This window comes from Homo sapiens, chromosome 14, assembly GCF_000001405.40.
Source record: "Homo sapiens chromosome 14, GRCh38.p14 Primary Assembly".
Lineage (NCBI taxonomy): Eukaryota > Metazoa > Chordata > Mammalia > Primates > Hominidae > Homo > Homo sapiens.
In genome coordinates, this window is record NC_000014.9 from 37,778,778 (window position 1) to 37,806,178 (window position 27,401).

General features: G+C 37.5%; 1 protein-coding gene across 16 annotated transcripts in view, besides 2 other annotated features; it reads left to right on the top strand.

Moving 5' to 3' along the window:
• Positions 1-27,401, top strand: part of TTC6 (tetratricopeptide repeat domain 6) — a 247,089-nt gene that overhangs the window by 183,149 nt on the left and 36,539 nt on the right. For 9 of the 16 annotated variants that reach the window (XR_007064009.1, NM_001310135.5, XM_017021254.2 and 6 more), the window contains 7 exons: positions 8,691-8,860; positions 11,940-12,060; positions 13,487-13,637; positions 16,493-16,575; positions 17,517-17,593; positions 18,010-18,170; positions 25,903-26,037. Coding sequence is in view for 14 of the 16 variants with exons in the window: in NM_001310135.5 (NP_001297064.2) it covers positions 8,691-8,860; positions 11,940-12,060; positions 13,487-13,637; positions 16,493-16,575; positions 17,517-17,593; positions 18,010-18,170; positions 25,903-26,037 (898 nt within the window). In the remaining 2 variants the exon portion in view is untranslated. Of the gene's footprint in view, positions 1-8,690; positions 8,861-9,425; positions 9,663-11,903; positions 12,061-13,486; positions 13,638-16,492; positions 16,576-17,516; positions 17,594-18,009; positions 18,171-23,316; positions 23,644-25,902; positions 26,038-27,401 lie in introns of those variants that run through there. The other 7 variants (XM_047431335.1, XM_047431337.1, XM_017021255.2 and 4 more) reach the window with 6 other exon arrangements.
• Positions 7,205-7,706: an enhancer, noted in NCBI's record as "H3K4me1 hESC enhancer chr14:38255187-38255688 (GRCh37/hg19 assembly coordinates)". NCBI's record gives its function as "activates a minimal SCP1, AML or CMV promoter by ChIP-STARR-seq in naive H9 embryonic stem cells {active_cell/tissue: H9 hESC(naive)}" and the evidence as "EXISTENCE:reporter gene assay evidence [ECO:0000049][PMID:30033119]".
• Positions 7,707-8,206: an enhancer, noted in NCBI's record as "H3K4me1 hESC enhancer chr14:38255689-38256188 (GRCh37/hg19 assembly coordinates)". NCBI's record gives its function as "activates a minimal SCP1, AML or CMV promoter by ChIP-STARR-seq in primed H9 embryonic stem cells {active_cell/tissue: H9 hESC(primed)}" and the evidence as "EXISTENCE:reporter gene assay evidence [ECO:0000049][PMID:30033119]".

Genomic DNA, 27,401 nt, shown 5'->3' on the forward strand with positions numbered 1-27,401 from the left:
TGAGCAGGTGTGGCCACCCTGGGGTCCTGGGAGAGGCCAGCAGACATGGGAGGGCACTCAAGTTGGACTGGCATCATCTCCAGGGCAAGGTTGCCCTGCTTTATTGAGGCCCAACAACTCCCCTAGGGCTAAAGTCTCCAAGGGGAGCATGGCAGACCTTGGGGTATGGGTATCCCTGACTGTGCTTCATTGCAGACTTTCCTGCTCCAAACCCTCTGGGCTTTGCACAAGCTGGAATTTTGCCCCACCACCTTTCTAAGAAGCTCTCTGCCAGCTTAAGTGTCCATGGGGGTCATGAGGTCTCCTGCTGCCAGGATTCCAGAAGTCTGTGGTGAGAGCAGGTTGCTGCTTTCCTGCTCAACTCATCCTTTCCCCAGGAGTCACTGGGAGCCAGAAATGGGTCCCAGTTCATGGTAGCCCCATGCAGGGTTCCCAAGTTCCTCCCCATTCAATGCTTCATCTTTGTCCTCTTTCTGTTCATTCTCAATGCATTCTCTATGAAGATCTGCTGCGAGTGCCAGTCTTTCTGATGTCCGTGTCCCTCAGTGGCAGGTGTTCCTCCTGTCTGTGACTAGTTGGCCTGCTTAGAAGTCTTTTTTTTGGCTTCCTTATTTTGAAGGATAAGTGCCCCTTGGCCATTATATACTTTTAGGTGGATCATTTAAAAATAGTACTGCATTTTCTTTGTCTTTAAAATTTTAAATCTATATTCATGGTAAAATTGGTCTCTATAGTGACTACTATATTTCAGCATTTGACTACTTTTTAAAAAATTGATTAAGTGTTCCATCTTTTCTTAGAAACATGTCCTTTATTATTAGATATTTTTTGTTCTTTGAAAGTTTGGAATAACTTGCCTCTAAAATTATCCCAGCTTACAGCCATTTGCTGAGAGGGCAAAATTTTTTGAAACTCTTTATAAATTATTCCCTTGTTATTGGTCTATTCTGGTTATCTACTTCTTCAATTGAAGGGACATTACTTGCAGGAAGGGATCAAATTAGTTGGAGGAGAACAAAAAGGTTAATTGAAGGTATTATTAGGTGGTGGTGTCTCAGGGGGCCTCATATGCCATTTTTAAAGAATTGGCCTTATCCCATTACCAATATGGGCCATGGAAAGAAAGTTTTTGAGAAAGTAGGTCTTTATTATATTACAGTCAAATCTTATCACTCCAGCTCTAGGAATAGAGTAAAATAAGAGCCCAGGTGTGAGCTGATGAAGGTCTGAATTACTGACGAAGTTGAAACAAATGCAAAAGCGAGTCTGTTTGAATGAATGAATGAATTAATTAATGGCATGCTACACAGAATATTACAAAAGGTTTATTCTGTAAAATTTTAAGTTCAGAAACATATATATGCTCAAAATTAATTAGTAATATTTTTTAGCAGTGAATACTAATTAAAAATAAATACAAAGCTCTTCTATTTATTAGAAAATTAGTGAAACATTTTTTTCCTCAACTTTTAAGTTCAGGGGTACATGTGCCAGATGTTCACATAGGCACATTTTTGTTACATAGGTAAATGTGTGCCTTAGTGGTTTGACACACAGATCATCCCATCACCTAGGTGTTAAGCCCAGTATCCATTAGCGATTCTTCCTGATGCTATCCCTCCCCTCACCCCTCTTCTGACAGGCCCCAGTGTGTGTTGTTCCCTTTCATGCATTCATGTGTTGTCATCATTCAGCTCCCATTTATAAGTGAGAACATGCAGTGTTCGGTTTTCTGTTCCTGTGTTAGTTTGCTGAGGATAATGGCTTCTAACTCCATCCACGTCCCTGCAAAAGACATGTTCTCATTTTCTTTTATGGCTGTGTAGTATTCCATGGTATATATGTACCACATTTTCTTTTTTTAAATTATACTTTAAGTTCTGGGTTACATCTGCAGAATGTGCAGCTTTGTTACCTAGGTATACATGTGCCATGGTGGTTTGCTGCACCCGTCAACCCATCACCTACATTAGATATTTATCCTAATGTTATCCTATCCCTAGCCTCCCACCCACCATGGACCCCGGTGTGTGGTGATCCCCTCCCTGTGTCTATGTGTTCTCGTTGTTCATCTCCCAGTTATGAGTGAGAATATGTAGTGTTTGGTTTTCTGATCTTGTGATAGTTTGCTAAGAACGATGATTTCCAGCTTCATCCATGTCCCTGCAAAGGATGTGAACTCATCCTTTTGTATGGCTGCATAGTATTCCATGGTGTATATGTGCCACATTTTCTTAATCCATTCTATCATTGGTAGACATTTGAGTCAGTTCCAAGTCTTTGCTATTTTGAATAATGCCACCATAAACATACGTGTGCATGTGTCTTTATCATAAAATGATTTATAATCCTTTGTGTATATGCCCAGTAATGGGATTGCTGGAGCAAATGGTATTTCTAGTTCTAGATCCTTGAGGAATTGCCACACTGTCTTCCACAATGGTTGAACTAATTTACACTCCCACCAACAGTGTAAAAGTGTTCCTATTTTTCCACAACCTCCCCAGCATCTGTTGTTTCCTGACTTTTTAATGATTGTCATTCTAACTGGAGTAAGATGGTATCTCATTATGATTTTGATTTGCATTTCTCTAATGACCAGTGATGATGAGCATTTTTTCATATGTCTGTTGGCTGCATAAATGTCTTTTTTTTGAAAAGTGTTCATATCCTTTGCCCATTTTTTGATGGGGTTGTTTGATTTTTCCTTGTAAATTTGTTTACATTCTTTGTAGATTCTGGATATTAGCCGTTTGTCAGATGGGTAGATTGCAAAAATTTTCTCCCATTCTGTAGGTTGCCTGTTCACTCTGATGGTAGTTTCTTTTGCGGTGCAGAAGCTCTTTAGTTTAATCAGATCCCATTTGTCAATTTTGGCTTTTGTTGCCGTTACTTTTGGTGTTTTAGACGTGAAATCCTTGCCCATGCCTATGTCCTGAATGGTAATGCCTAGGTTTTCTTCTAGGATTTTTATGCTTTTAGGTCTGATGTTTAAGTCTTTAATCCATCTTGAGTTAATTTTTGTATAAGGTGTAAGGAAGGGATCCAGTTTCAGCTTTCTACATATGGCTAGCCAGTTTTCCCAGCACCATTTATTAAGTGGGGAATCCTTTCCCCATTGCTTGTTTTTGACAGGTTTGTCAAAGATCAGATGGTTGTAGGAGTGTGGTATTATTTCTGAGGGCTCTGTTCTGTTTCATTGGTCTATATCTCTGTTTTGGTACCAGTACCATGCTGTTTTGGTTACTGTAGCCTTGTAGTATAGTTTGAAGTCAGGTAGCGTGATGCCTCCAGCTTTGTTCTTTTGGCTTAGGATTGTCTTGGCAATGCGGGCTCTCTTTTGGTTCCATATGAACTTTAAAGTAGTTTTTTTTAGTTCTTTGAAGAAAGTCATTGGTAGCTTGATGGGGATGGCATTGAATCTATAAATTACCTTTGGCAGTATGACCATTTTCACGATATTGATTCTTCCTATCCATGAGCATGGAATGTTCTTCCATTTGTTTGTATCTTCTTTTATTTCATTGAACAGTGGTTTGTAATTCTCCTTGAAGAGGTCCTTCACATCCCTTGTAAGTTGGATTCCTAGGTATTTTATTCTCTTTGAAGCAATTGTGAATGGGAGTTCACTCATGATTTGGCTCTCTGTTTATCTGTTATTGGTGTATAGGAATGCATGTGATTTTTGCACATTGATTTTGTATCCTGAGACTTTGCTGAAGTTGCTTATCAGCTTAAGGAGATTTTGGGCTGAGACGATGGGGTTTTCTGAATATACAATCATGTCATCTGCAAACAGGGACAATTTGACTTCCTCTTTTCCTAATTGAATACCCTTTATTTCTTTCTCCTGCCTAATTGCCCTGGCCAGAACTTCCAACACTATGTTGAATAGGAGTGATGAGAGAGGGCATCCCTGTCTTGTGCCAGTTTTCAAAGGGAATGTTTCCAGTTTTTGCCCATTCAGTATGATATTGGCTGTGGGTTTGTCATAAATGGCTCTTATTATTTTGAGATACGTCCCATCAATATCTAATTTATTTAGCGTTTTTAGCATGAAGGGCTGTTGAATTTTGTCAAAGGCCTTTTCTGCATCTATTGAGATAATCATGTGGTTTTTGTCTTTGGTTCTGTTTATATGCTGGATTACATTTATTGATTCGTGTATGTTGAATCAGCCTTGCATCCCAGGGATGAAGCCCACTTGAACATGGTGGATAAGCTTTTTGATGTGCTGCTGGATTCGGTTTGCCAGTATTTTATTGAGGACTTTTGCATCGATGTTCATCAGGGATATTGGTCTAAAATTCTCTTTTTTTTGTTGTGTCTCTGCCAGGCTTTGGTATGAGGATGATGCTGGCCTCATAAAATGAGTTAGGGAGAATTCCCTCTTTTTCTATTGATTGGAATAGTTTCAGAAGGAAGGGTACCAGCTCCTTTTTGTACCTCTGGTAGAATTCGGCTGTGAATCTGTCTGGTCCTAGACTCTTTTTGGTTTGGTAGGTTCTTAATTATTGCCTCAATTTCAGAGCCTGTTATTGGTCTATTCAGGGATTCAATTTCTTCCTGGTTTAGTCTTGGGAGGGTGTATGTGTCCAGGAATTTATCCAATTCTTCTAGATTTTCTAGTTTATTTGCATAGAGATGTTTATAGTATTCTCTGATGGTAGTGTGTATCTCTGTGGGATTGGTGGTGATATCCCCTTTATTATTTTTTATTGCATCTATTTGATTCTTCTTCCTTTTTTTCTTTATTAGTCTTGCTAGTGGTCTATCAATTTTGTTGATGTTTTCAGAAAAATAGCTCCTGGATTCATTGATTTTTTGAAGGATTTTTTGTGTCTCTATCTCCCTGAGTTCTGCTCTGATCTTAGTTATTTCTTGCCTTCTGCTAGCTTTTGAATGTGTTTGCTCTTGCTTTTCTAGTTCTTTTATTTGTGATGTTAGGATATCCATTTTAGATCTTTCCTGCTTTCTCTTATGGGCATTTAGTGCTATAAATTTCCCTCTACACACTGCTTGAAATGTGTCCCAGAGATTCTGGGATTTTGTGTCTTTGTTCTCACTGGTTTCAAAGAACATCTTTATTTCTGCCTTCATTTTGTTATTTACCCAGTAGTCATTCAGGAGCAGGTTGTTCAGCTTCCATGTAGTTGAGCAGTTTTGAGTGAGTTTCTTAATCCTGAGTTCTAGTTTGATTGCACTGTGGTCTGAGAGACAGTTTGTTATAATTTCTGTTCTTTTACATTTGCTGAGGAATGCTTTACTTCGAACTGTGTGGTCAATTTTGGAATAAGTCCGATGTGGTGCTGAGAAGAATGTATATTCTGTTGATTTGGGGTGGAGAGTTCTGTAGATGTCTATTAGGTCTGCTTGGTGCAGAGCTGAGTTCAATTCTTGTTAACTTTCTGTCTTGTGGACCTGTCTAATGTTGACAGTGGGGTGTTAAAGTCTCCCATTATTATTGTGTGGGAGTCTAAGTCTCTTTGTAGGTCTCTAAGGACTTGCTTTATGAATCTGGGTGCTCCTGTATTGGGTACATATATATTTAGGATAGTTAGCTCTTTTTGTTGAATTGATCCGTTTACCATTATGTAATGGCCTCCTTGTGTCTTTTGATCTTTGTTGGTTTAAAGTCTGTTTTATCAGAGACCAGGATTACAACCCCTGCTTTTTTTTGTTTTCCATTTGCTTGGTAGATCTTCCTCCATCCCTTTATTTTGAGCCTATGTGTGTCTCTGCACGTTGAGATGGGTCTCCTGAACACAGCACACTGATGACTCCTGACTCCTTATCCAATTTGCCAGTCTGTGTCTTTTAATTGGAGCATTTAGCCCATTTACATTTAAGGTTAATATTGTTATATGTGAATGTGATCCTGTCATTATGATGTTAGCTGGTTATTTTGCTTGTTAGTTGATGCAGTTTTTTCCTAGCATCGATGGTCTTTACAATTTGTCATGTTTTTGCAGTGGCTGGTACTGGTTGTTCATATCCATGTTTAGTGCTTCCTTCAGGAGCTCCTGTAAGGCAGGCCTGGTGGTGACAAAATCTCTCAGCATTTGCTTGTCTGTAAAGGATTTTATTTCTCCTTCACCTTTGAAGCTTTGTTTGGCTGGATATGAAATTCTGGGTTGAAAATTCTTTTCTTTAAGAATGTTGAATATTGGCCCCCACTCTCTTCTGGCTTGTAGAGTTTCTGCTGAGAGATCAGCTGTTAATCTGATGGGCTTCCCTTTGTGGGTAACCTGAACTTTCTCTTTGGCTGCACTTAAGATTTTTTCCTTCATTTCAACTTTGGTGAATCTGACAATTATGTGTCTTGGAGTTGCTCTTCTCAAGGGGTATCTTTGTGACATTCTCTGTGTTTCCTGAATTTGAATGGTAGCCTGCCTTGCTAGGTTGGGGAAGTTCTCCTGGATAATATCCTGAAGAGTGTTTTCCAACTTGGTTTCATTCTCCCCATCACTTTCAGGTACACCAATCAGACATAGATTTGGTCTTTTCACATAGTCCCATATTTCTTGGAGGCTTTGTTTATTTCTTTTTACTCTTTTTTCTCTAAACTTTTCACTTCATTTCATTAATTTGATCTTCAATCACTGATACCCTTTCTTCCAGTTGATTGAATTGGCTACTGAAGCTTGTGCATGCATCACGTAGTTCTTGTGCCATTGTTTTGAACTCCATCAGGTCATTTAAGGTCTTCTCTATGCTGTTTATTCTAGTTAGCCATTCGTGTAATCTTTTCTCAAGGTTTTTAGCTGCTTTGCTTTGGGTTTGAATATCCTCCTTTAGCTCAGAGAAGTTTGTTTTTACCGATCGTCTGAAGCCTTTTTCTCTCAACTCGTCGAAGTCATTCCTCATCCAGCTTTGTTCCGTTGCTGGCGAGGAGCTGCGTTCCTTTGGAGGAGAAGAGGTGCTCTAATTTTTAGAATGTTCAGCTTTTCTGCTCTGGTTTATCCCCATATTTTTGGTTTTATCTATCTTTGGTCTTTGGTGATGGTGACATACAGATGAGGTTTTGGTGTGGATGTCCTTTCTGTTTGTTAGTTTTCCTTCTAACAGTCAGGACCCTCAGCTGCAGGTCTGTTGGAGTTTGCTGGAGGTCCACTCCAGATGCTGTTTGCCTGGGTATCACCAGTGGAGGCTGCAGAACCACACATGTTGCAGAATGGCAAATGTTGCTGCCTGATTGTTCCTCTGGAAGCTTTGTCTCAGAGGGGCACCCGGCTGTATGAGGCGTCTGTTGGCCCCTAGTGGGAAGTGCCTCCCAGTTAGGCTACTCGGGGGTCAGGGAGTCACTTGAGGTGGCAGTCTGTCCATTCTCAGATCTCAAACTCCATGCTGGGAGAACCACTACTCTCTTCAAAGCTGTCAGACAGGGACGTTTAAGTCTGCAGAAGTTTCTGCTGCCTTTTGTTCAGCTATGCCCGGCCCACAGAGGTGGAGTCTACAGAGGCAGGCAGGCCTCCTTGAGCTGTGGTGGGCTCCACCCAGTTCGAGTTTCCCAGCCGCTTTGTTTACCTACTTAAGTGTCAGCAATGGCAGCCGCCCCTCACCCAGCCTCGTTGCTGCCTTGCAGTTTGATCTCAGACTGCTGTGCTAGCAGTGAGCAAGGCTCCGTGGGCGTGGGACCCTCCAAGCCAGGTGCGGGATATAATCTACTGGTATGCCATTTGCTAAGACTGTTGGAAAAGCGCAGTATTAGGGTTGGAGTGAGTCAATTTTCCAGGTGCCATCTGTCATGGCTTCCCTTGGCTAGGAAAGGGAATTCCCGGACCCCTTGCACTTCCCGGGTGAGGCGGTGCCTGGCCCTGCTTTGGCTCACTGTCCGTGGGCTGCACCCACTGTCCTGCACCAACTGTCCGACAAGCCCCAGTGAGATGAACCCGGTACCTCAGTTGGAAATGCAGGAATCACCCGTCTTCTGCATCGCTCACGCGGGGAGCTGTAGACTGGAGCTGTTCCTATTTGACCATCTTGGAACCTCCCACTATTTTTATTTCTTCTAAGTAGGCAACCTAGTAGCTTCTTTCTTCTGTTTTTCCTTGTCATCTTTATTTTATTTCTAAAAATGGATATGCTTCACATTATTAACTAATTGAAGATGAGTTTTTTGGCATTGATCTAAGTCAGTGATAATTTCAAAATTGGAGTCAGAAGTTAATGATAAAGGAATCCAGTTTACACAACTAATGCAATAGCTTTCATCCGTGAAAGAGCAGACTTTCACGTATTTGGATGTATCTTCAAGCTCCAGAGAAAAACCTCCTAAAACTTCTACTCACTAGGGCCCATGTTCTGCAAAATGGATTATTTTGCTTTTCTAGGAAGCAATTTTGTATAAATTAGTGCTTAATACATTTTTGGGAATCAATAAATAATAAATGTCATACTTATTTTATTGACATACGTCCTTGATAAATGTAAGAAATAAAATTAGTAAGCATATAATTAATATGTAGAATGTACCTGATAAGCATATAATTATGTATACAATAAAGTGTACTTCAATTTATAAAAAGTTTGTATCATTTTTGCTGTTAACATCATGACTAAACTCTCTTGTGAAGCAAGGAGAAACATTTACAAATTGTTATTCAAATATAAAATTAGTTGTACAGGTTTACCAAAAAGAGAAAATGTATACTTTACAGTACTTGTTAAAACAAACTTTTTTTTCCTAGGACATACCGAGGGATTGCATATGTTAAATGGAAATTTTATAAAGAAGCAACTCAAGATTTTTCTGCTGCAATTCACTTAGATCCTAATAACTGGTTAGCGTTGTATTATCGAGGTTGCTTATTCAGAAAGAGTAACCCTTTTAGAGCGCTACAGGATTATAGTGTTTCAGGTACTTTGCCTTCAATTACATGTATATAGCAACCCAATCTGAGATTCAACAGCTCAGTTTCATAGTGGTGAATGGTAATGTGGGTTCACTAATGTAATATGTATACTACTATATACTAATATACATTATAAGTATATATTACATGAGCTTACGCATTTTAATATTCTTATATAGGTATACAATATATGAATATATAGCTATAATGGTTTAGCTATAAGTGTTTCTAATATGCCCTTTATGTGTGTGTGTGTCTGTGTGTGTGTGTGTGTGTGTGTGTGTGTGTGTGTTAACTGTGGCAAGGGGAGAATGTGACAGCAAAGAATCTCTTTCTATAATATACTGGGTTCTGAAGATTTTTCTGCAAACCCAGTCCTGTTTCCTAGTCAGCTTGCTAAAATGGCAGTAAACTGTCCTGGTGGGCTGTGTCCTGCTCCATAGGCTCAGCCCAAGGGATTTGTCAAATTCAGAGTTTTTAACCCCTAAACTAAAAATAGGTTTTGAGAATCCTTAGTAGCTAAGGACACCAACAGCTAAAAATGGCCATTTCTGTGTTACTCTCAATCAGCACACTCCTGGTTTATGCATGTGCCCAGCACAATTGTGAGCATAGAGTCAGTGCTCAGTAAACAGCCTCCAACAGAATGAATGAGTCCATCCTGACTGATGAAATCCAGCCTGAGTCTAACACTCCAGATATGCCTGTGTTCACCTGGGTGCAAAGTTCTGGAATCCCATCATCCTAGATTAGACAGTGTCTAGAGATGAAGAGACAACTAGATTTCCACAGGGAAGAAGAGCTAAGGTGATAGTTACTTGATTGTCTTAAGTCCATTTGCCTTCTGAGGTCACCCTTCTAATTAATATTAAAATAAAATAACTCAAATTTCATTCTGTGTGTTGACAGGAGTCTAGTGTCCTCCCCTCTATTTCCAGTGATTCTTGGGAAAGGGGACTGAGGATTTCTGTCTAATTCTTTCGTCATCTTTGAGTCCAATTTCAGCTTTTGGCTGGATTTCCCATCTTTGCCCACCCTCACTTCTGTGGCTACTGTTCTCTCGGCTTTGCTTTTTCCCAGGTCTGTCCTTCATTCCCCAGTGTAACATCAACACAAACCTGTTATGTCTACTAATCTGTTACTGAATGCTTTAGGGTTCAGAGGATAAATTTAGCACAGATAACTTAAATTTGAAGATCAAACCACCCCCATTTCTAGAAGTTTATCTGGCTCTATCAGCCCTATCCATCTGCCACTGGCCACATCCCTTTCTCTCTGATCTTCCTCTAAAGGCCTCTTTCTCATATTTCCCTCTTATACAAGTTTTGGGCTTCTCATGCCCTCCTCTCCCCACTTCTAGGCTATCACAATAATTGAACAAAATTCCTATTATTTAATTATCCAGAGCAGACAAACTTGATTTCAGCCTCCATCCTTTCCTACCAGACAGCCCAAGGAGTTTTATCACCTGCAACAAAAAAGGACTCTCAAGATATTTTGCTAAGCTAATAATAATAATAATGATATCTAACATTTATTGGGCATTTTGCTACTTGCAAAGTGCTGTTTAAAGTGCCAAATAAGAAGTGTCTCAATATTCAGAGTAATGCTAGGAGCTCGGTACTATTTTCATTCACATTTTACTGATGAGAAAGCCATAGCACAGAGAGGTTAAATAATATTTTTTTTCCTTTTTCCTTAAGAAGAGTTTTTTTATTGTTTGTTAAGAGCAGCCACCCAAACTGCAGCTGATTTTTTAATTGCTAGCCAATCATACTGTGAACTGAGCAGTTAGATTTTCTTCAAGTGATAACAGTCATGCGCCACATAATGATGTTTCGGTCAAAAACGGACTGTATATACTATGGTTAAACCTGATATATGGCACTTGACATTCGCATTGTGGATCAAGTAGGGGAAACGATTGATATTCATTAATGGTGTTGGGACATTTGGTTTCCTCTTATATATATATATATATATATTGTATATACTCTATGTATATTCTATAATATATTCTATATTCTGTATATATGTATATATATAAAAATATATACCATCTAGGTTTGTGAAAGTACACTCTATGATCTTTGCACAATAAAGAAATCCCCTAATAATGCATTTCTCAGAACATATCCCTACTGTTAAGTGGTGCATGACTGTACTTCCTTAATGTGTATGATCATTGCTGACACTGGCTATAGTTCCCTAAATCCAGTACCGTGAATATTTTTGTCCTAGACTGCAAACATTATGCATATTTTGACAAAACTTTGCACCTTAAGGCAGAATGTCATGAGAAGCTTTAAAGATATCTGTCAAAACTTGTGGAAACCCCATCTAATTCACTAACATGTTTTGAAAGTGAAGGGGCAATCAGTAGGCGAGAGACATGAGATGACCTCTAGACAGGTTACTGATGAGAGTCACACACCTGGATTACTGAGAGGAGGTTCTTTTTCTCCCTTCCATTATTAGGGATGTGCATCTCGCATCTCGGATAGCTGTCATTTGGGATGTGCATAGTCAAGCCGTCCGCCTTACCTCCAAGCTCTGTTTGCCTTGGTGTAGCCTCTTTGCTTGTCCATCCCGGTTTGTGTGTGAGCCTGACCTCTGCTTTCTGCCTTCAGGACTAGTACTCAAGCCTGTTCCTTGGCCAGTAACGATGGCTTCCTGATAAAATCAGGCCATCAAGGGTCATGGCACCCTTCTGACTGGAGTTGGATTCTAGGCCAGTCTTTGCCATTGACTGGTATATCATGACCATGGTCAATGTACTTACCCCCTTTGGACTTTAATCTCCTCACCTATACGGTGAGTGGACTATGCTAGATTCCAATCAGGATTTAATTCAGCTCTAATGAGTTTGTGAACCACAATTGCCACATTGTTACTAATAAATACATTTTAATGTACAATACTATTATTTAACTTACCAAACAAGTACACTCATCATAGATATGTTTCTATTTTATATAATGTTAAAAAATGAGAATAAGCAATAGGAAGTTTACAGACTAAAGTATAATTTACCTATGGTTATTTTAGAACCTGAATGAAATACATTTTTTTAAACTTTTTAAGCACTCATAAATGATGGCTATGAGAATCTTGGTTGTTTTCTACATCGGGGAATAGTCTATGCACATCTAAAACTTTGGCTGCTGGCAATTTGTGACTTTGAAACTGTCATTTCTCTAGAAAGGTATGTTTTCCTTTTCATATTTATTGATTTCAGTTTTGTAAAAAATCGAAAACCTGAAATGGGAGAAAAAGTTTCTTTCCCCTCATCATTGATAACCTAGAAAAAATGAGACACTTATAAAGTCATCCTAGAATTAGAATACTACTTCTAAAAACAAGATTACTTCAAAAATAAAACCTGTTCTCAACATCTGTTTGCCTTGGGTGTTTTTGCAAATTTTAGAAGTTAAATGGGTTTGACAGGAGTTAAATCTATGGATAAGGAATCAATACTATTGAGGATTTTGGAGATGCCCAGGCTAGAGCTTTTTGAAATTAACTTCATGGAAAACTGTCATTAAGTTTTAAAATAATGAAAAAACATTCTGCTTGGTGTATGATTGCTATGGACAGGATACAACTCAATGGAAGGCAGCCTTCTATTTAGAACTTCTGGCTTCATTTTGTTTAGTAAAGCAAAATAAAAACACTAATACCATGTAGACCATATGTTCAGGGAGAAATATAGACTGAAAGTTAAATGCACTAGTCAGAAAGTCAAACTGTAAATCACAGAATTTAATTAAAAATTCCCCTTTTTTTCCAAAGAAGGATTTATGAAAAGGGAAGGTGTCAGAAAGAGTAACTAATCATGCCAATTCCTTGCCAACCAGCAGACTGTTTACTTAATCTATCCAAGGTAAACTTTGAACTTGACACAGGAAATTCATGGAGCATGGCTCCCATAATGACCACAGTGGTTTTCTTTTGGACATTTTTGAGCCAGAAAGAAAAAGAAAAGAGTGTCAGTTTCAAAGAGACAGAAAACAGGAAGTAGGAACTTTGGTGTCTAGGCAAGGGGTCAGGGATTCTGTGAGGTTGGATTATTGGATGGGTGGTTTTCATTTTGAAATAGAGGCATCAAACATGATAATTTCTAAGGTTATTTCTCTACTGAAAATCAGTTGATTTTAAGAGAGATAAATAACATTTATTTGATACAGAAAAGCTGTGTTAATATGTACGTGGAGAGGATTTTAACCCCAAGCCACCAAACCCTTGAATATGACTGTTTCTCACTGTCACTCGTGGCCAATAGAACATAGCCTGAGGTAAAGACTCTTTAGTTGAGAAAAACTAAGCTTGTGACTCAAGATAACGGAAAGGTAAATCAAAGAAGAGTAAAGTTTTGCTAAAAGTCTAGGAGACTTCAGGAATTCTGTTCCTAGCGCAGACCTTAAAAACATTAATTCCTTACTAAGGGTTTCATAAAGGTGTTTATAGTTTTTCATAGAGAGCAGCTAACTAATTTACTTTCCTTTGTAAAACATTAAAAAATACTCTGATGAATACTGATGCATCTGTTTCATTCAGTTTATTCCTAATTGGAGAACATTTGGAATAATTAAAAATGTTTAACAAGATTTCACTTTCTCATTTTTTTTTAGAACTATTACTTTGGCTTATGTAAATATTGGCCTCATACATCTGCTACACCTGGATAACTACACGGAAGCTATTTGGCAATTTTCTGAGGCTATTAGAATTGATCCTTTATGTATTCAAAGCTATCTTTGTCGGGCGGAAACCTATTTTAAGGTATTTAAGGCTCGAGAACCTTGATTTTTTTAAAAAAACTTTAATTTTCTGGATATTTGTTCAACATAATTTTAATATATATACATATTTTAGCTAATTGTAGGGGCTAATGCATTTATAAACAATGTGTTAAGCTGGTAGTTAACTCTAATTACTCATTTATAAAGCCTCTACTTTCAAGGTGTGCATTTTTATGTCTTTCACTTTTGAAAATAATACCTTTTTTTTTCTTAATTACAAAAGCATTATATACTTATTGCAGGTAATATATGCATGCGATAGGAATAAACTAAAAACTATTATCTATAATTTTATTCTCTAGGGATAGCTGCTATTAACAATTTGAGTCTATGGTCCAATGTTGTGTGTGTGTGTGTGTGTGTGTGTGTGTGTGTGTGTGTGTGTACAGGTGAGTAAGTAGGTTCATACAATGGGATCCAACCATAGAATGGGATACTGACCATTCATACTTACTTTTAATTTTGTTTAAGTTTTATAAGTTGTTCACATTAAAAATAAATGTTATATGCCCCTGCCGTGACAAATTAAAACAGCACAATAAATAGGAAAAATCCTCTCCAATTCCAGCCAGATCTGATTTTCAGAGATAACGCTGTTAACTCTTGTCTCTACCCTTCAAAGTAGACACCCATTTATACCACTTCACCTCTAACTGCCCTGTCCAAATACTGGTTTCTCACCAGGATGGATTTTCAAATAGCAGCCACAGTGATCTTGCCAAAACATGTCAGATTATTTCACTTCTTTGCTCAAGCCCTTCAATAGCTTCGCTTGTGTTTAGAATAAAAGCTAAATTCTACAAAAGCCAAAGGTCTGCAAGACCCCACAGGAGCTAGCTTCTAATTGCCTTTCTACCTTTGTCTCCTGTCTATGCTGGTTTCAGCCAGGATAAGCTAGGCTATACTGAGGTAAAAAAACAAAAAAACAAAAAACCCAAAAACCAAACCTTCAAAATTACTGTATTAAAACAAAGGTTTATTCCTTGCTCACACTGTATGTCCACAGAGGACTGCCTGGAGGCTCTGCCTCCATTATCTACATCTCAGGACCCAGTGTGACTAGAGTCCCATTCAGAGTCCTTACTCTGCTGACAATGGAGGTAGGGACCTAGGGCAGGTTCAATGTTGCCACTAGGTCATGTTAGTTCTTGACTCTGTCAGGGAAAGGATGGACAATACTCATAGTGTGTGGTTCTTTTGCTTAACCCTGTTGATGAAGGTAAGACCATCTGCGGAAGTTGGAGTTTCCTCTGAGCACATAGAGAAATGGAAACACTAGCATGATAGCAAGGTGTAAGGATATAGTCAAAGGCTGTTCTGAGAGACGAAAATCTCTGTGCAGTAATGATTGAATAATTTGTGGTGCATTCACATCATAGAATGTAACAGAGATGGAGACAAGAGTGAATAGAACTATGCTAGCTGACTTGGAAGGTTTTCCATGAGATATTTTTAAGTAAGAAAAGTAGGGCTCACAAAAGAGTGTGAAGTGTGTACAATACGATTCCATGTAAATAAAACAATTGTAAATAAACCCTTGTGTATGTATGTACAAGAATATATACTCCCATTATGTGGGTTCAGCCTCCAGGGTAAATCTAATCTAAGGCTACCTGGTAGTGGTCTAATGTCAGGGAAGCTTGTGAGATCTGCGAATGAGCCTCCATTTGTCTTAAGTCAGGATTTCCTCAATGCATAGACATGTATGGTTGGTAGAACAGGTATAGCAATGTGGACATATGACTATATGATTTATTAATTACACCATCCTGAATAGGGTTAGCTTAGGAAGCAGCAGGCATGAAGTTCCACAGAAATTTTCCAATTTGTTTAAACTAATCTCAAACTTCCTCCTTTTTTGTTTCCTCTTTTGAGTCCATCCACCATTTCCTCCAAACATTTATACCATCTCTACAGGTACTGCCTGCTTCCATGCACAAATTAGTTTTGTACATTTGCTTCTTTGCATCATTGTGCCGTAACAATAAAAGGATTGGTTGGTTGTCCCAGGTTAATTTTGCTCTGGTCTGTAGAGTGCTCTTTTGGTAATATTTTCAATGATAGTTGATTTTGTCCCAAAGTTGTACAAATTCAGTTTCTGCGACCAGTATTAAGGGAATAATTAATGTTTACTTTTCGTTACATATTGATGGTAAGCAGATTACTTTTTCATCATTTTTTTATTTTGTTATATTCATTCATTCATTTACTTAATTTTTGTGCAGGCCTGTTTTTCCTCCCTTATTTTTAAGTGGAATAGAGTTTTAGTTTTTATATTACCCTCCTTTGCATGCTACTTTATTTCTTAGTCTTTATTCCTATTATTGTTTTTGTCTAGATGGAGTCTCACTATGTTGACCAGGCTGGTCTTGACCTCCTGGCCTCATCAAGCGATTCTCCTATCTCAGCCTCCCAAAGCGCTCGAATTAGAGGCCTGAGACCAGCCTGCATGCTGCTTGATTAAGATGGATCAGGTTTGCTGAAAAAGTTGTTAGGGTTGAGGGAGAAAAACTGGAAACTAAATGATAAAAGAGAACACAAACACGTACACAATCCAGAATGTATTATATAATCACATTTATGTGAAATAGTATATGTAGATATGTATAATTATTATTTAAAATTAAAGATAGATGATTTTTAAAAACTAAGAATATATCATAAATTTTTCTTTTTACTTCTCTGTATCCCATTTGCTTTGTAGATTCTTAAGAAAAACATGTATGTTAGGAGATGTCCCTGCAAAATTTCTGTAGAAAGGGTGGGAGAGGATAAATATCAGAAAGGAAGCAATCGATGTTATTAGGAGCTAAATTTCTGTTTCTCACTCAACAGTTGCATAAATTGAAAAAGGCAGTAAATGAATTGTCTCGTGCTATCCACCTTCAGCCAGATGGAATCCAATTATACATAAGAAGGTATGAGCATAGAAACTGAATTCTTCTTGGGATAACTTAGCATCAGAGAAATTGAATGGGGATCTTCAGTTCCCTCTTGAACCTTTCAGGCTCCCCATTTTACATTTAATCTCCCAGCAATTGCCATTTCCCCACCAGCAAGCCAGTTTGTTAAACTTTGAGATAGTTTATTACATAAGATAACCAGATTTTTCCCTTTGCTCTACCCTTGCATCAAAATATACCTGTTTAGTGTTTATGTTCTTTGAGACCTTTTTAAGCGACTAGTCATATGGTTATCACATATCTCATAAGAGTAAGGTAACGTATTTTGAACAGTTGTTTTGATTATGTCCACAATCAAACATAAGCATGTGTACTAAACACAAACCTCTGCTAATTCAGTGAAAAGAAGTGACATACTGAATTGTATACCATTTCTACAGGTACTGCCTACTTCCATGCAGTATTTCAAATGCAGTAGAACTTTCTATAAAGATATCCTTTGCAAGTTATGAGTTATCACTATCAAAAATATAAACTTTTAAGGATTTATAGACCTGGGAAATGGAATGTGACAATGCTTTACTGATAAGGGCTTGCTTTGTCCTTGAACCACATTTTAGCAATTTATGTAGATACCTCCTTCCTTTTATATGCCTTGAACTTTATCTTTTAATAATTTCTCAGCAAAAAGTATAACATTTTAAATGCAGATAATTGCAAAAAGAGATTTGTGTATTTTTCTTTCAGTGTTACATTTCCTAAGTTTTCTCATCACATCACTATGCTAATTGATATATTTAGTTTATATAAAATGTCTATAATTTTCACTTTTTTATGCATACATAAGTAAATAAGAATGAATATATTGTAAAATTGTAAGTAACTGATTAGAAGAAACTTTATTTTAGAAAGTTAATTTTTAGCTGCTTAGAATCAAAATCGATTATTTCTTCCAGAGGACAATATCTTCTTATGATGAAATATTATGATCTTGCAAAGTTTACTATTTATCAAATAGCAGAAATGGACAAAGGTAAGTATAATTAATTATAACTTTTAAGAAATACTTCTTTAAAATTTTTATGCTATTTTGCAATAGTTATGTATAAATAGCATGAAGGATCCAATTGAAAGTCAAATTAGATTTTCAAACTTTAGTTTTATATGTACATTGCCAATTAGTAAAATGATTCATAGCAGTGAATTTTGTGAGAGAGAATTTTTATGGGAAATATTAAGCTTACAATTTTTCTATTTTTTGTCTGTAATTGGAATGTCTTGTTGGTTACTGGTAGTAAATAGATCTTACTATGATTTGTTAATTTTATAATTTATTGATTTGTTAATTCATATTATAAAGACAAATTATTGAATTACTCCCTTAGAATAATTATATTCAAAATCATTGATACTTGGCAAAGATATTGATAAACTTTCCTTCCCTTTTAGGTCTCAGTGAGTTGAGTCCTATGCAGCAAGCCCTTATTTATTCATTTTGTGAAAACCATGACAAGGCCATTGAGGTCTTGGACGGAATCAGCTGGAATAGAGCTGAGATGACCATGTGTGCTCTATTAGCAAAAGTTCAAATGAAGGCCAAGAGAACCAAGGTGAAAAGTCCTCTGAGTAATGTTTACTAAACCTATTAATGAAGTGTATATATTGTGCTTAGTATACCACTTTAAATATTTTTCACAAAATTAAGTCATACTATTTATTTTCTGTGAATTAACATTTGGGTTATTTTCTCTCTTTTTTGTGCCCCCTCTTAAGAACAGGGCTGCCCTAAATATTCTTTTTCATGTATTCAGTCAGCATGTGGAGTAGTTTTCCAGGTTATATTTCAAGGAGTGCAATTGGTGGTATGTAGAGAATGTGAATGTTTAACTTTCAAGGAAATGACGCGTTGTTTCATAGGGCGGTACCAATTTATTCTCCTACCTGAAGTGTAGGTGTATTCCTGTTCCTGTTGGTCTGCATCTTTTACAATAATTGATATTGTTAGGCTTTATTTTTGCCAATTTGGTGGATAAAAATTTATGTCTTGTGGTCTTAATTCACACTTCTCAGTTTGAGCATCAGGTTGAGAATCTTTTTATGTTTATCAGCCACTCATATTTTCTGTTCTATCAATTTGCTATACACATTTTTCATTTCTCTTGTTCTTACTGATTTTAGGCATTTAAGATATAAATTCTGTATACTAATCCTCGATTGTGTGCTGAGTATCTTCTTACAGTTTGTGCCTCGTCTTTTGTCTCTGTGGTGTCTTCTGATGAACAAAACTTCTAAAGTTTAATGTAGTAATATGTCTATTTAAAATAGAATATGTCTATTTTAAAATTTGTCATCAGGGCGTCTTAAAAAATACCTTGTTTAAAAAGCCCTTTTCTACTCCAAGGTCAAGATATTCTTCCCTATTTTCTTTGGAAAGTTTAAGTTTTCCTTTTTCCATTTAAGACCCTACTCTATCTTAAGATTATTCTTTTTTAGCATGAGAGAGTGATAAAATTTCAGTTTTCTCCATATGGGTATTTAAATGTTTCAGTATCCTTTATTGAAATGTTCTTCTTAACCCAAAAATCTGCAGTGCTACATCTATCTTATTACAAGTTTTCACATATGTGTGGATCATGTGCTATTTTAGATTCTCTGTTCTGTTCCTTTGGTCAATTTTTCTATTACTGGCCCAGCAGTACAATGTCTTAATTGCTATAACCTCATTGAAATTATTGATAACTGGTGGAGCAAGTCCCCACACCATATTCTTCTCTAGGAAGCTCCTGGTTAATCTTCAGCATTTACTCTGCCATATACATGTTAAATTTAGCTTGCCCAAGGTCCATTAAAAACTCTCTTGAGATTTTGAATCTTGAGATTGTTTTAGGGAGAATTGACATCTTTATGATATTGAATTCTTTAGTTTATGATCAGAATGATGTATTGCCCCATTTATTTCACTTTTTCTTTTGAATAGATTTTACATATCCATTGCTAAAAGTTTCCTAGTTTTCCAGTTTTTTTTCATAGTTTTTGCTACTATTATAAAGGGTATCTTTAAAAAAATTTGTTTGCTGATGGTTTATAGAAATGAAACTGATTTTGGAATACTTATCTACTGGCTGACCACCTTGCTGAACTTGCTTATTATTTCTTAAAATGTTTAGTTCTGTTCTTTTGGGTTTATAACTAGGAAAATATGTCATCTATAAATAATAATAGTTTTATTTTTTTCTTTCTTTTTATGTATTCTGTTTCTTATTCTTGTCTAACTGTGCTGGCTAGAAACTCCAAGACAATACTGACTAAAACTAGTGACAAAGACACCCTTATTTTCTTCCAAATTTTAAAGGAAGTTTACCCTACTAAGAATGAAGTTTGGGATTGATTTTTGTAGATAATTTAAACAAAATAAAGATTACATAATCTTTCTATTTCCATTTTGAATTTTATCAAATAATTTTTCATCAGGTATTGAAATTATTATGTTTTTATCCTTTAATATGTTAATGTAGCAGATTATATGTCACATATGAAATTAAGTAATCTATGACATTATTTAGTGTTAGACCAACCATGCATTCCTGGGTTAAACCAACTTGATCAGAATATATAATCTTTTTGTAGACATTGCTAAATTTGAGTTGCTTGTGAGGATCTTTGTGTCTATATTTATGAGTGAGATTGGTTTTGTGGGATTTGAGTATTGATCTCATAGGATTATTTGGAGAGTATTTCTTCTTTTCTATTTAGTGAATGAGTTTGTCTAAAGATTGTAAGGATGTCTTCTTTGAAAGATTATTTAATGCTTTAATATCTAGTACATGGCACACATTTAATAAACATTAGCCGTTATTATTCCTATTTTTTCTCCCTGGGCATTTTAAGACTTTTTATCAGCTTCATTCCATAAGCATTTAATCATGAGAAACTACCTTTAGTATAAAAACTAAAAAAACTTTATTTTTGCTCTCTTGACCTCACCAATTATTGGCTTTTTTCTCTTTACTCTGGCACAACCAAATCTTGGAAAATTGTTTATAGTCCTTATCTTCATTTCCTCACTTTCCACTCATTCTGCTGCTCACCACAATCTGGCTCCTTTCCTCTTGTGATGGACACATGATAAGGTGACCCTCAACAAGTTATGCCCTTGTGTGACCTTGAGTGTGAGTGGAACCTATGTCTCACTTCTAACCAACAGAGTATGGGAAAGATGATGGGATGTCACTCCCATGATTATATTAGGTTATGTAGTAGACTGGAGAGAGAAATTCCCTTCCTGGCCTTAAAAAAGCAAAGAATTATACTATGAACTGCTTGTGGAGAGGGTATCATGGTAGGGAACTGCTGTGGCCTTGAGGACCTCAGGACAATCTTCAGCCAATAGCCAGTAAGAAGCCTGGGCCCTCAGTCATGCAGCCATAAGGAAACGAAACCCACCAACAATCAGAATGAGCTTAAAAGAAGAAGAGAAAAGAAGTTTTCAGATGAGAATGTAGCACAGTTGACACCTTGACTGAAGCCTGGGAAACCCTAAGCAGAGGACTCAGCTAAGCTATGCGCAGGCTCCTGGCCCCTCACCTCTGCTTGTTCGTCAACAATATTCTAAACTATCTCCTGTGAGATAAGAAATGTGTGTTGTTTTAAAGCATTAAGTTTGTGGCATTTTTTATTTTTTGCAGCAACAAGAAAATAATACAGATGCAGTGTTGCTGTAACAAATACCTGCAAATGTAGGAGCAGCTTTAGAACAAAGCAGTGGGCAGAGGCTGAAAGAATTTTGAGGAACATGACAGAAAAAGCTTCAATCACCTCAAACAGACTCTTAGTAGATACCTGGTTTTTAAAGACACTAGCATTGAGGACTCTGAGGCAAATGAGCAACATGTTATTATTTTTATTTAGTGGTTCAAAGCTTAGTAAAATTTTCTCATTTAGTTGTATGGAAAGAAGAACTAATAATTCAGGAGCCTGGATATACAGCTAAGATAATTTCCAAGCAAGGTGTTGACAGTGCTGCCAGCTTTCTTTTTGCTTCTAATAGTAAAGTGTGAGAAAGGAGAGATAAGTTAAGAACTGTTAAACAAAGTCAACCAGGACTTGCTTATGAGGAAAATTTTCAACTTCTCCAGATGGCAAAAGAGGACAAAATTCAGTCAAGAGAAAAGGACAAGGTGTGGCCGGACAACACTTTGCTAAGAACTTAGAAGGATCATGAGGGCAGAGTATTCAGTCACACTAGTTCTTTTTCCTTTCAAGAGATTAAGGGCAAAACTTACAAATCTTCTTAACCAAACCAGAGGATCTCCAGAAGCTTAAGGGCATTGTCCCTCAGGCATCTCAGCAGTAGGCCGAAGTAGACAAGGAATTTTCTTGAAAAAATTAGTGGATGTGGCTTTTGTCTAATGAAGTGAATCCCTGTGAAATCCATGGAAGATCTCCAAAGTTTTTAGGAGAATTATTTATTTATAAACACTGACAATTTGGACTTAGACAGAGAGAGTACAAAACGAAAGAAGGCTGTCAGACCTCAAAATCATTCTGGCAGGAAGTAGGTTAATAAAACAACTCAGCTGCAAACACGTACAACCTTTCATAAAAAAGGAAAAAGGACCCAGAAGGCAAGACTAGGAACCCACAGGATGACACTAAGTGCCATAAATGTTTTGAAACCTAATCAAGAGACTGAGCATTTGCCCAAATGTATTTCAGAACTGCCATGGACCAGTGGCTCATTTTAATCTTCCATTTTCCCCTTTTTAAACCAGAATATCTGTGGATATTATTCTATGCCTGTCACCCATTGTATGTTGGGTGTTTTGGGGACAGATAACTTGTCTCTTTAATTTCACAAGTCCACAGATGGAGAGGAATTGTGTCCCAAGAGTGGGAGCTGGTGGATTTTACTTAAATGCCTCATCCAGACTTGGACCTGCTTTAAATGATGAAATTTTAGATGTTGAGCTGATGCAATAATGAGCTGAGACTTTGGGGGACCTTGGAATGGAGGAATATATTTTGCGTGTGGCAAGAATGTTGAATTACTGGGGGCCAGATCATTAGAGTCATCTGGTAGACACACTCTAAGATTATTCTTAATCATACCCTATGTTATCTCCTCCCCTTCCTTGAGTGTGTGCAGGACCTGTGACTTGCTTCCAACCAATAGAATATGGCAAAATTGGTGGGGTGTCGCTCCCTCAATTATGTTGCAGTATATAAGACCTCCTTCTTAGCAGAGTAAAGAGAGAGAGGTTCTCCTGCTGGCCTTGTTGTGACTTCTTATGGAGAGAGTGATGTGGTGAGGAACTGTGGGCAGCTGGGACCTGAGTGCAGCCAACAGCCAGCAAGCTGGTATCTCATTGTGGTTTTTATTTGCATCACACCAGTCAGAATGGTGATTATTAAAAAGTAAAGAAACAACAGATGCTGGTGAGGTTGCAGAGAAATAGGAACGCTTTTATACATTTCAACCATTGTGTAAGACGGTTTGGCGATTCCTCAAAGACCTAGAGGCAGAAATGCCATTTGACCCAGCAATCTCATTACTGAGTATATATTCCAAAGGAATATAAATCATTCTGTTACAAAGATACATGCATGTGTATGTTCATTGCAGCACTATTCACAATAGCAAAGATACGGAATCAACTCAAATGCCCATCAATGATAGAGCGGATAAAGAAAATGTGGTACATACACACGATGGAATATTATGCAGCATAAAAAGTAATGAGATCATGTCCTTTGCAGGGACGTGGATGGAGCTGGAAGCCATTATCCTCAGCAAACTAATGCAGAAACAGAAAACCAAGCCCTGCATGTTATAAATGGGAGCTGAACAATGAGAACACATGGACACAAGGAGGGGAACAACACACACTGGGGCCTGTAGGAAAAAGGGTGCGGGGAGACAGAGCATTAGGAAAAACAGCTAATGCGTGCTGGGCTTAATACTTAGGTGGTGGGTTGGTAGGTGCAGCAAACCACCATGGCACGTGTTTACCTTTGTAACAAACCTGTATATCCTGCATATGTACCCTGGTACTTAAAATAAAATAAAAAAAAAATGAAACTGGGGCTGTCAGTCCTGGAGTCTCAAGGAAATGAAGGCTGCTGACAACATGAATGAGCTTGGAAGCTAATTCTCCCAGCCAAGTTTCCAGAGGAGAATGTAGCTCAACCGACACATTGATAGCAGCTTTGTAGGACCCGGAGCAGAGGGCCCAGTTAAGCCATGCCCAATCTCCGGACCTGTGGAAAGTGTGAGATGATAAATGCATGTTACTATCATTTGCTAAATGTGTGGTAATTTGACCTGTAGCGATAGAAAAACGAATGCACCTCTGGTTTGGAATCAAGCACTCTTGCTAGCTTCATTGACTTTCTTTTTTCTCTTTTTTTTTTTTTTGAGATGGAGTCTTGCTCAGTCACCCAGCTGGAGTGCAGTGGCGCAATCTCAGCTCACTGCAACCTCTGCCTCCTGGGTTCAAGCAATTCTCCTGCCTCAGCCTCCTGACTAGCTGGGATTATAGGCACATACCACTATGCCCAGCTAATTTTTGTGTTTTTAGTAGAGATGGGGTTTCACCATGTTGGCCAGGCTGGTCTTGAACTCCTGACCTTAGGTGATCCACTTGCTTCTGCCTCCCAAAGTGCTGGAATTACAGGTGTAAGCCACTGTGCCCAGCCTTCATTGACTTTCTTATTGCAGATTCTGTGATCATTACTCAGTATGGATCATGTCTACTTTTTTCTTCACATTTGGAGATTTTGGTCTCTGTATTATTTGAGGACTGCTTTTTTATATTTGCTTTAATCTCCTCCTCCCAGCCTGTCCTCTGTGACTCTAGCTGGATACCTGATGTCACCATCAGCTACCCTCTTCCACCCAATCAATAGTGATGTTTTCTTGGTTCTGCTTTCTAGATACTTCTCAAATCCACTTTCTTTATTTCTGTGGTTATTATCCTGGTTTGGAGCATATAGTTAAAAAAATTTTTTTGAATTATATAGCTGCATTGTTGTACTCTTCCAAGCTTTTATCCACACAGCAGCCACAGTACTTTCTGCAGACTATAAAGATGACTTATCTGTAAGCCCCTGCAGATGTCCCTCAGATGACACCGTGGAGTAGTGAAAGAGAGAGAGATGGAGGAAGCAGGAGGAAGTGAAGACATGTTCATTTTAATTTAAATGGGTTGGAAGGCTTGAGTAGACAAGTTTTAATGGGCTCAAGGAGTCAGTAAAGGGGCAGAAATCCAAAGGAGGAAGGAAGTAACAGGCTGCTCAGGTGAGGCAGGAGAAGATGGGGTCAAGGACAGCTTTTGAGGAGTTAGCTCTGCAAGGAATGAGAAAGAAAGCAATTCAAAGACAGGAGAGAAAAAGGTGAAAGTGAATGAAGATATAGATTCATCGAAAAGTAGAAAGGGGGGAAATTGAGACAGTAATCCACTTTTTCTAGGCAAGGTCATGTGCTGAGAGTGAGGACAGAAGGAGGGATGTTGGGTGGCTTGCAAACATATACAGCTAATGCTCAATAGAACACTTAGCATATCCAAGTGAAACTTCATTTTTTCTTTAGCAATTTAAGACAATTAAGAAGATGGTATAACCAGTAACAAGTATTTGTCTTTCTATATACAGATATACAGTGGGTAGTTAAGTATTAAATGGCATTTCTATCTTTTTCATTAATGAGACATTTGACTTTTTCATTTAATGAGACTTTTTCATTCATGAAACTTTTGACTATTTTGAACTTTTTCATTAATGAGAGTTTGAACATTTTCATTAATGAGACTTTTGACTCTTTTGAATAAATAAATGGTTGAGTTTTGGAGGTAGTTTATTTTTTTGGTGCCAATAAAACCCTATTAGGAGGACAGCAGGACACAATAAAAAATGGATTAAAATTATGTCAGATATTATCAGTGGAGATCTTTTACTACCTAGTAGCTTCCCAGTATTCCATTCAGAGAAATTATTAGGAAATTGTCAATAAACTTGTTCATAAATTTAAGCCTGACTTAAGCTTGTGTATATAGCCTTTAGAATTCAGAAATTTTAGTTCCAAAAATCCATGTCCATAAGCCTGCTTAAGTACTGGCTTGTAGGATAGGCACCTGGGTGGGACTCATGAGGGTAAGACTTCTGAACTGGGTTCTCTTCTTGTAGTGTACTGACAAGACCTGTAACTTCACCAGGTCTGTTTGTCCCCAGATAAAGTAAGAGTAGAGGTGTGTGCTCTGTGCTCCTTTTAACATATAAGGCTGTAACGTTAAATCAATAGTGGAAAGAAACATTTCTTGCCCCCTCCCTGCTTTTTTATCATTATAGGAAGCTGTGGAAGTGCTTAAGAAGGCTTTGGATGCCATTTCTCATTCTGATAAAGGACCAGATGCCACAGCAATTTCAGCAGACTGTCTGTATAACTTGGGTCTTTGTTACATGGAGGAAGGCAATTTACAAATGGTATTTCGTGTATTTAGGAGTATAGATTATTTGTGATTTTAGAGACTGGTTGCTTGTATGCAATTCTGTTTCTGAAGGCCACCTATACAGTGGGCAACCGGTCCAAAGCTGCTTATGAAGCTTGGCTTGTTATAGTCATTCTGCACCCTGCAACACCTAGGACATTGTTTTATTTAATCAACATGTTTTATTTGATGCTTGTTTGTCAACAATATTCTAAAGATTAATATGCGTTTCCCACCAGAACAATAAATCTAACTGCAGGAAATTATTACAGTAAAATAATTTTATCACAGTAGTATGAGTTCACTTATTAAATTTTAAGTATTTTAAGTGCTTTAACATAATGTAGAATAAATGGAAAAGATTAGGGCTTTCTGGCTTTTGTTATTGATCATTGAACAATTCAAATCAGATTGAAACTGGTTGTTAAGATGGCCAGATTTACTGAAAAACAGTTGATTCAATTATTACATATTTATCCAGTCTTTGGTGATTTTAGGCAATTCTTTACTTCAGACTTGTCACTGATATGACAAATATGTAAAATAATTGATACTATCCAATGGCTAATGTTGGATATTCTACAACTCTATCTCAAGACACACACACACACACACACACACACACACACACACAAACACACACACATCATTCTAATTCTTACGTTCGTGGGGTGGACATTGTTTTAAACTGGTATTGGTATAAATGAAAAAAGAGGTGCACTTGATTAGTTGTTCTATTAAGAAATGCCAGTAAATATGAGACAAATTACAAATATTTTACATGTTTTTAGTCCTTTTGAACAACCAGAGCAAACTCAGCTTTGCTTTAAAATGCGGGGAAAAATTTTAGAGTTCTATTGTTCTGAAGTGTTTTTTTGTTTGTTTGTTTGTTTGTTTTTTGAGATGGAGTTTCGCTCTGTCGCCAGGGTGGAGTGCAGTGGCGCGATCTCGGCTCACTGCAACCTCTGCCTCCCAGTTTCAAGCGATTCTCCTGCCTCAGCCTCCCGAGTAGCTGGGATTACAGGCTCACGCCACCGCACCTGGCTAATTTTTGTAGTTTTTAGTAGAGATGGAGTTTCACCATGTTGGCCAGGATGGTCTTCATCTTTTCACCTCATGATCCGCCCGCCTTGGTCTCTCAAAGTGCTGGGATTACAGGAATGAGCCACCATGCCTGGCCTGTTCTGAAGTTTTATAATGATGCATTTGCTGGATCCTAATGAAAAATAAATGTGCTGGTTGTGATTTCTTTGAAGCAATGAAATCTGAAGAATAATTAAAATTATACCACCTGAAATATTGTAATCTAACAATATGGATTATGTAGACCTAGTCTGCCTTTAATTATAATAATCAACC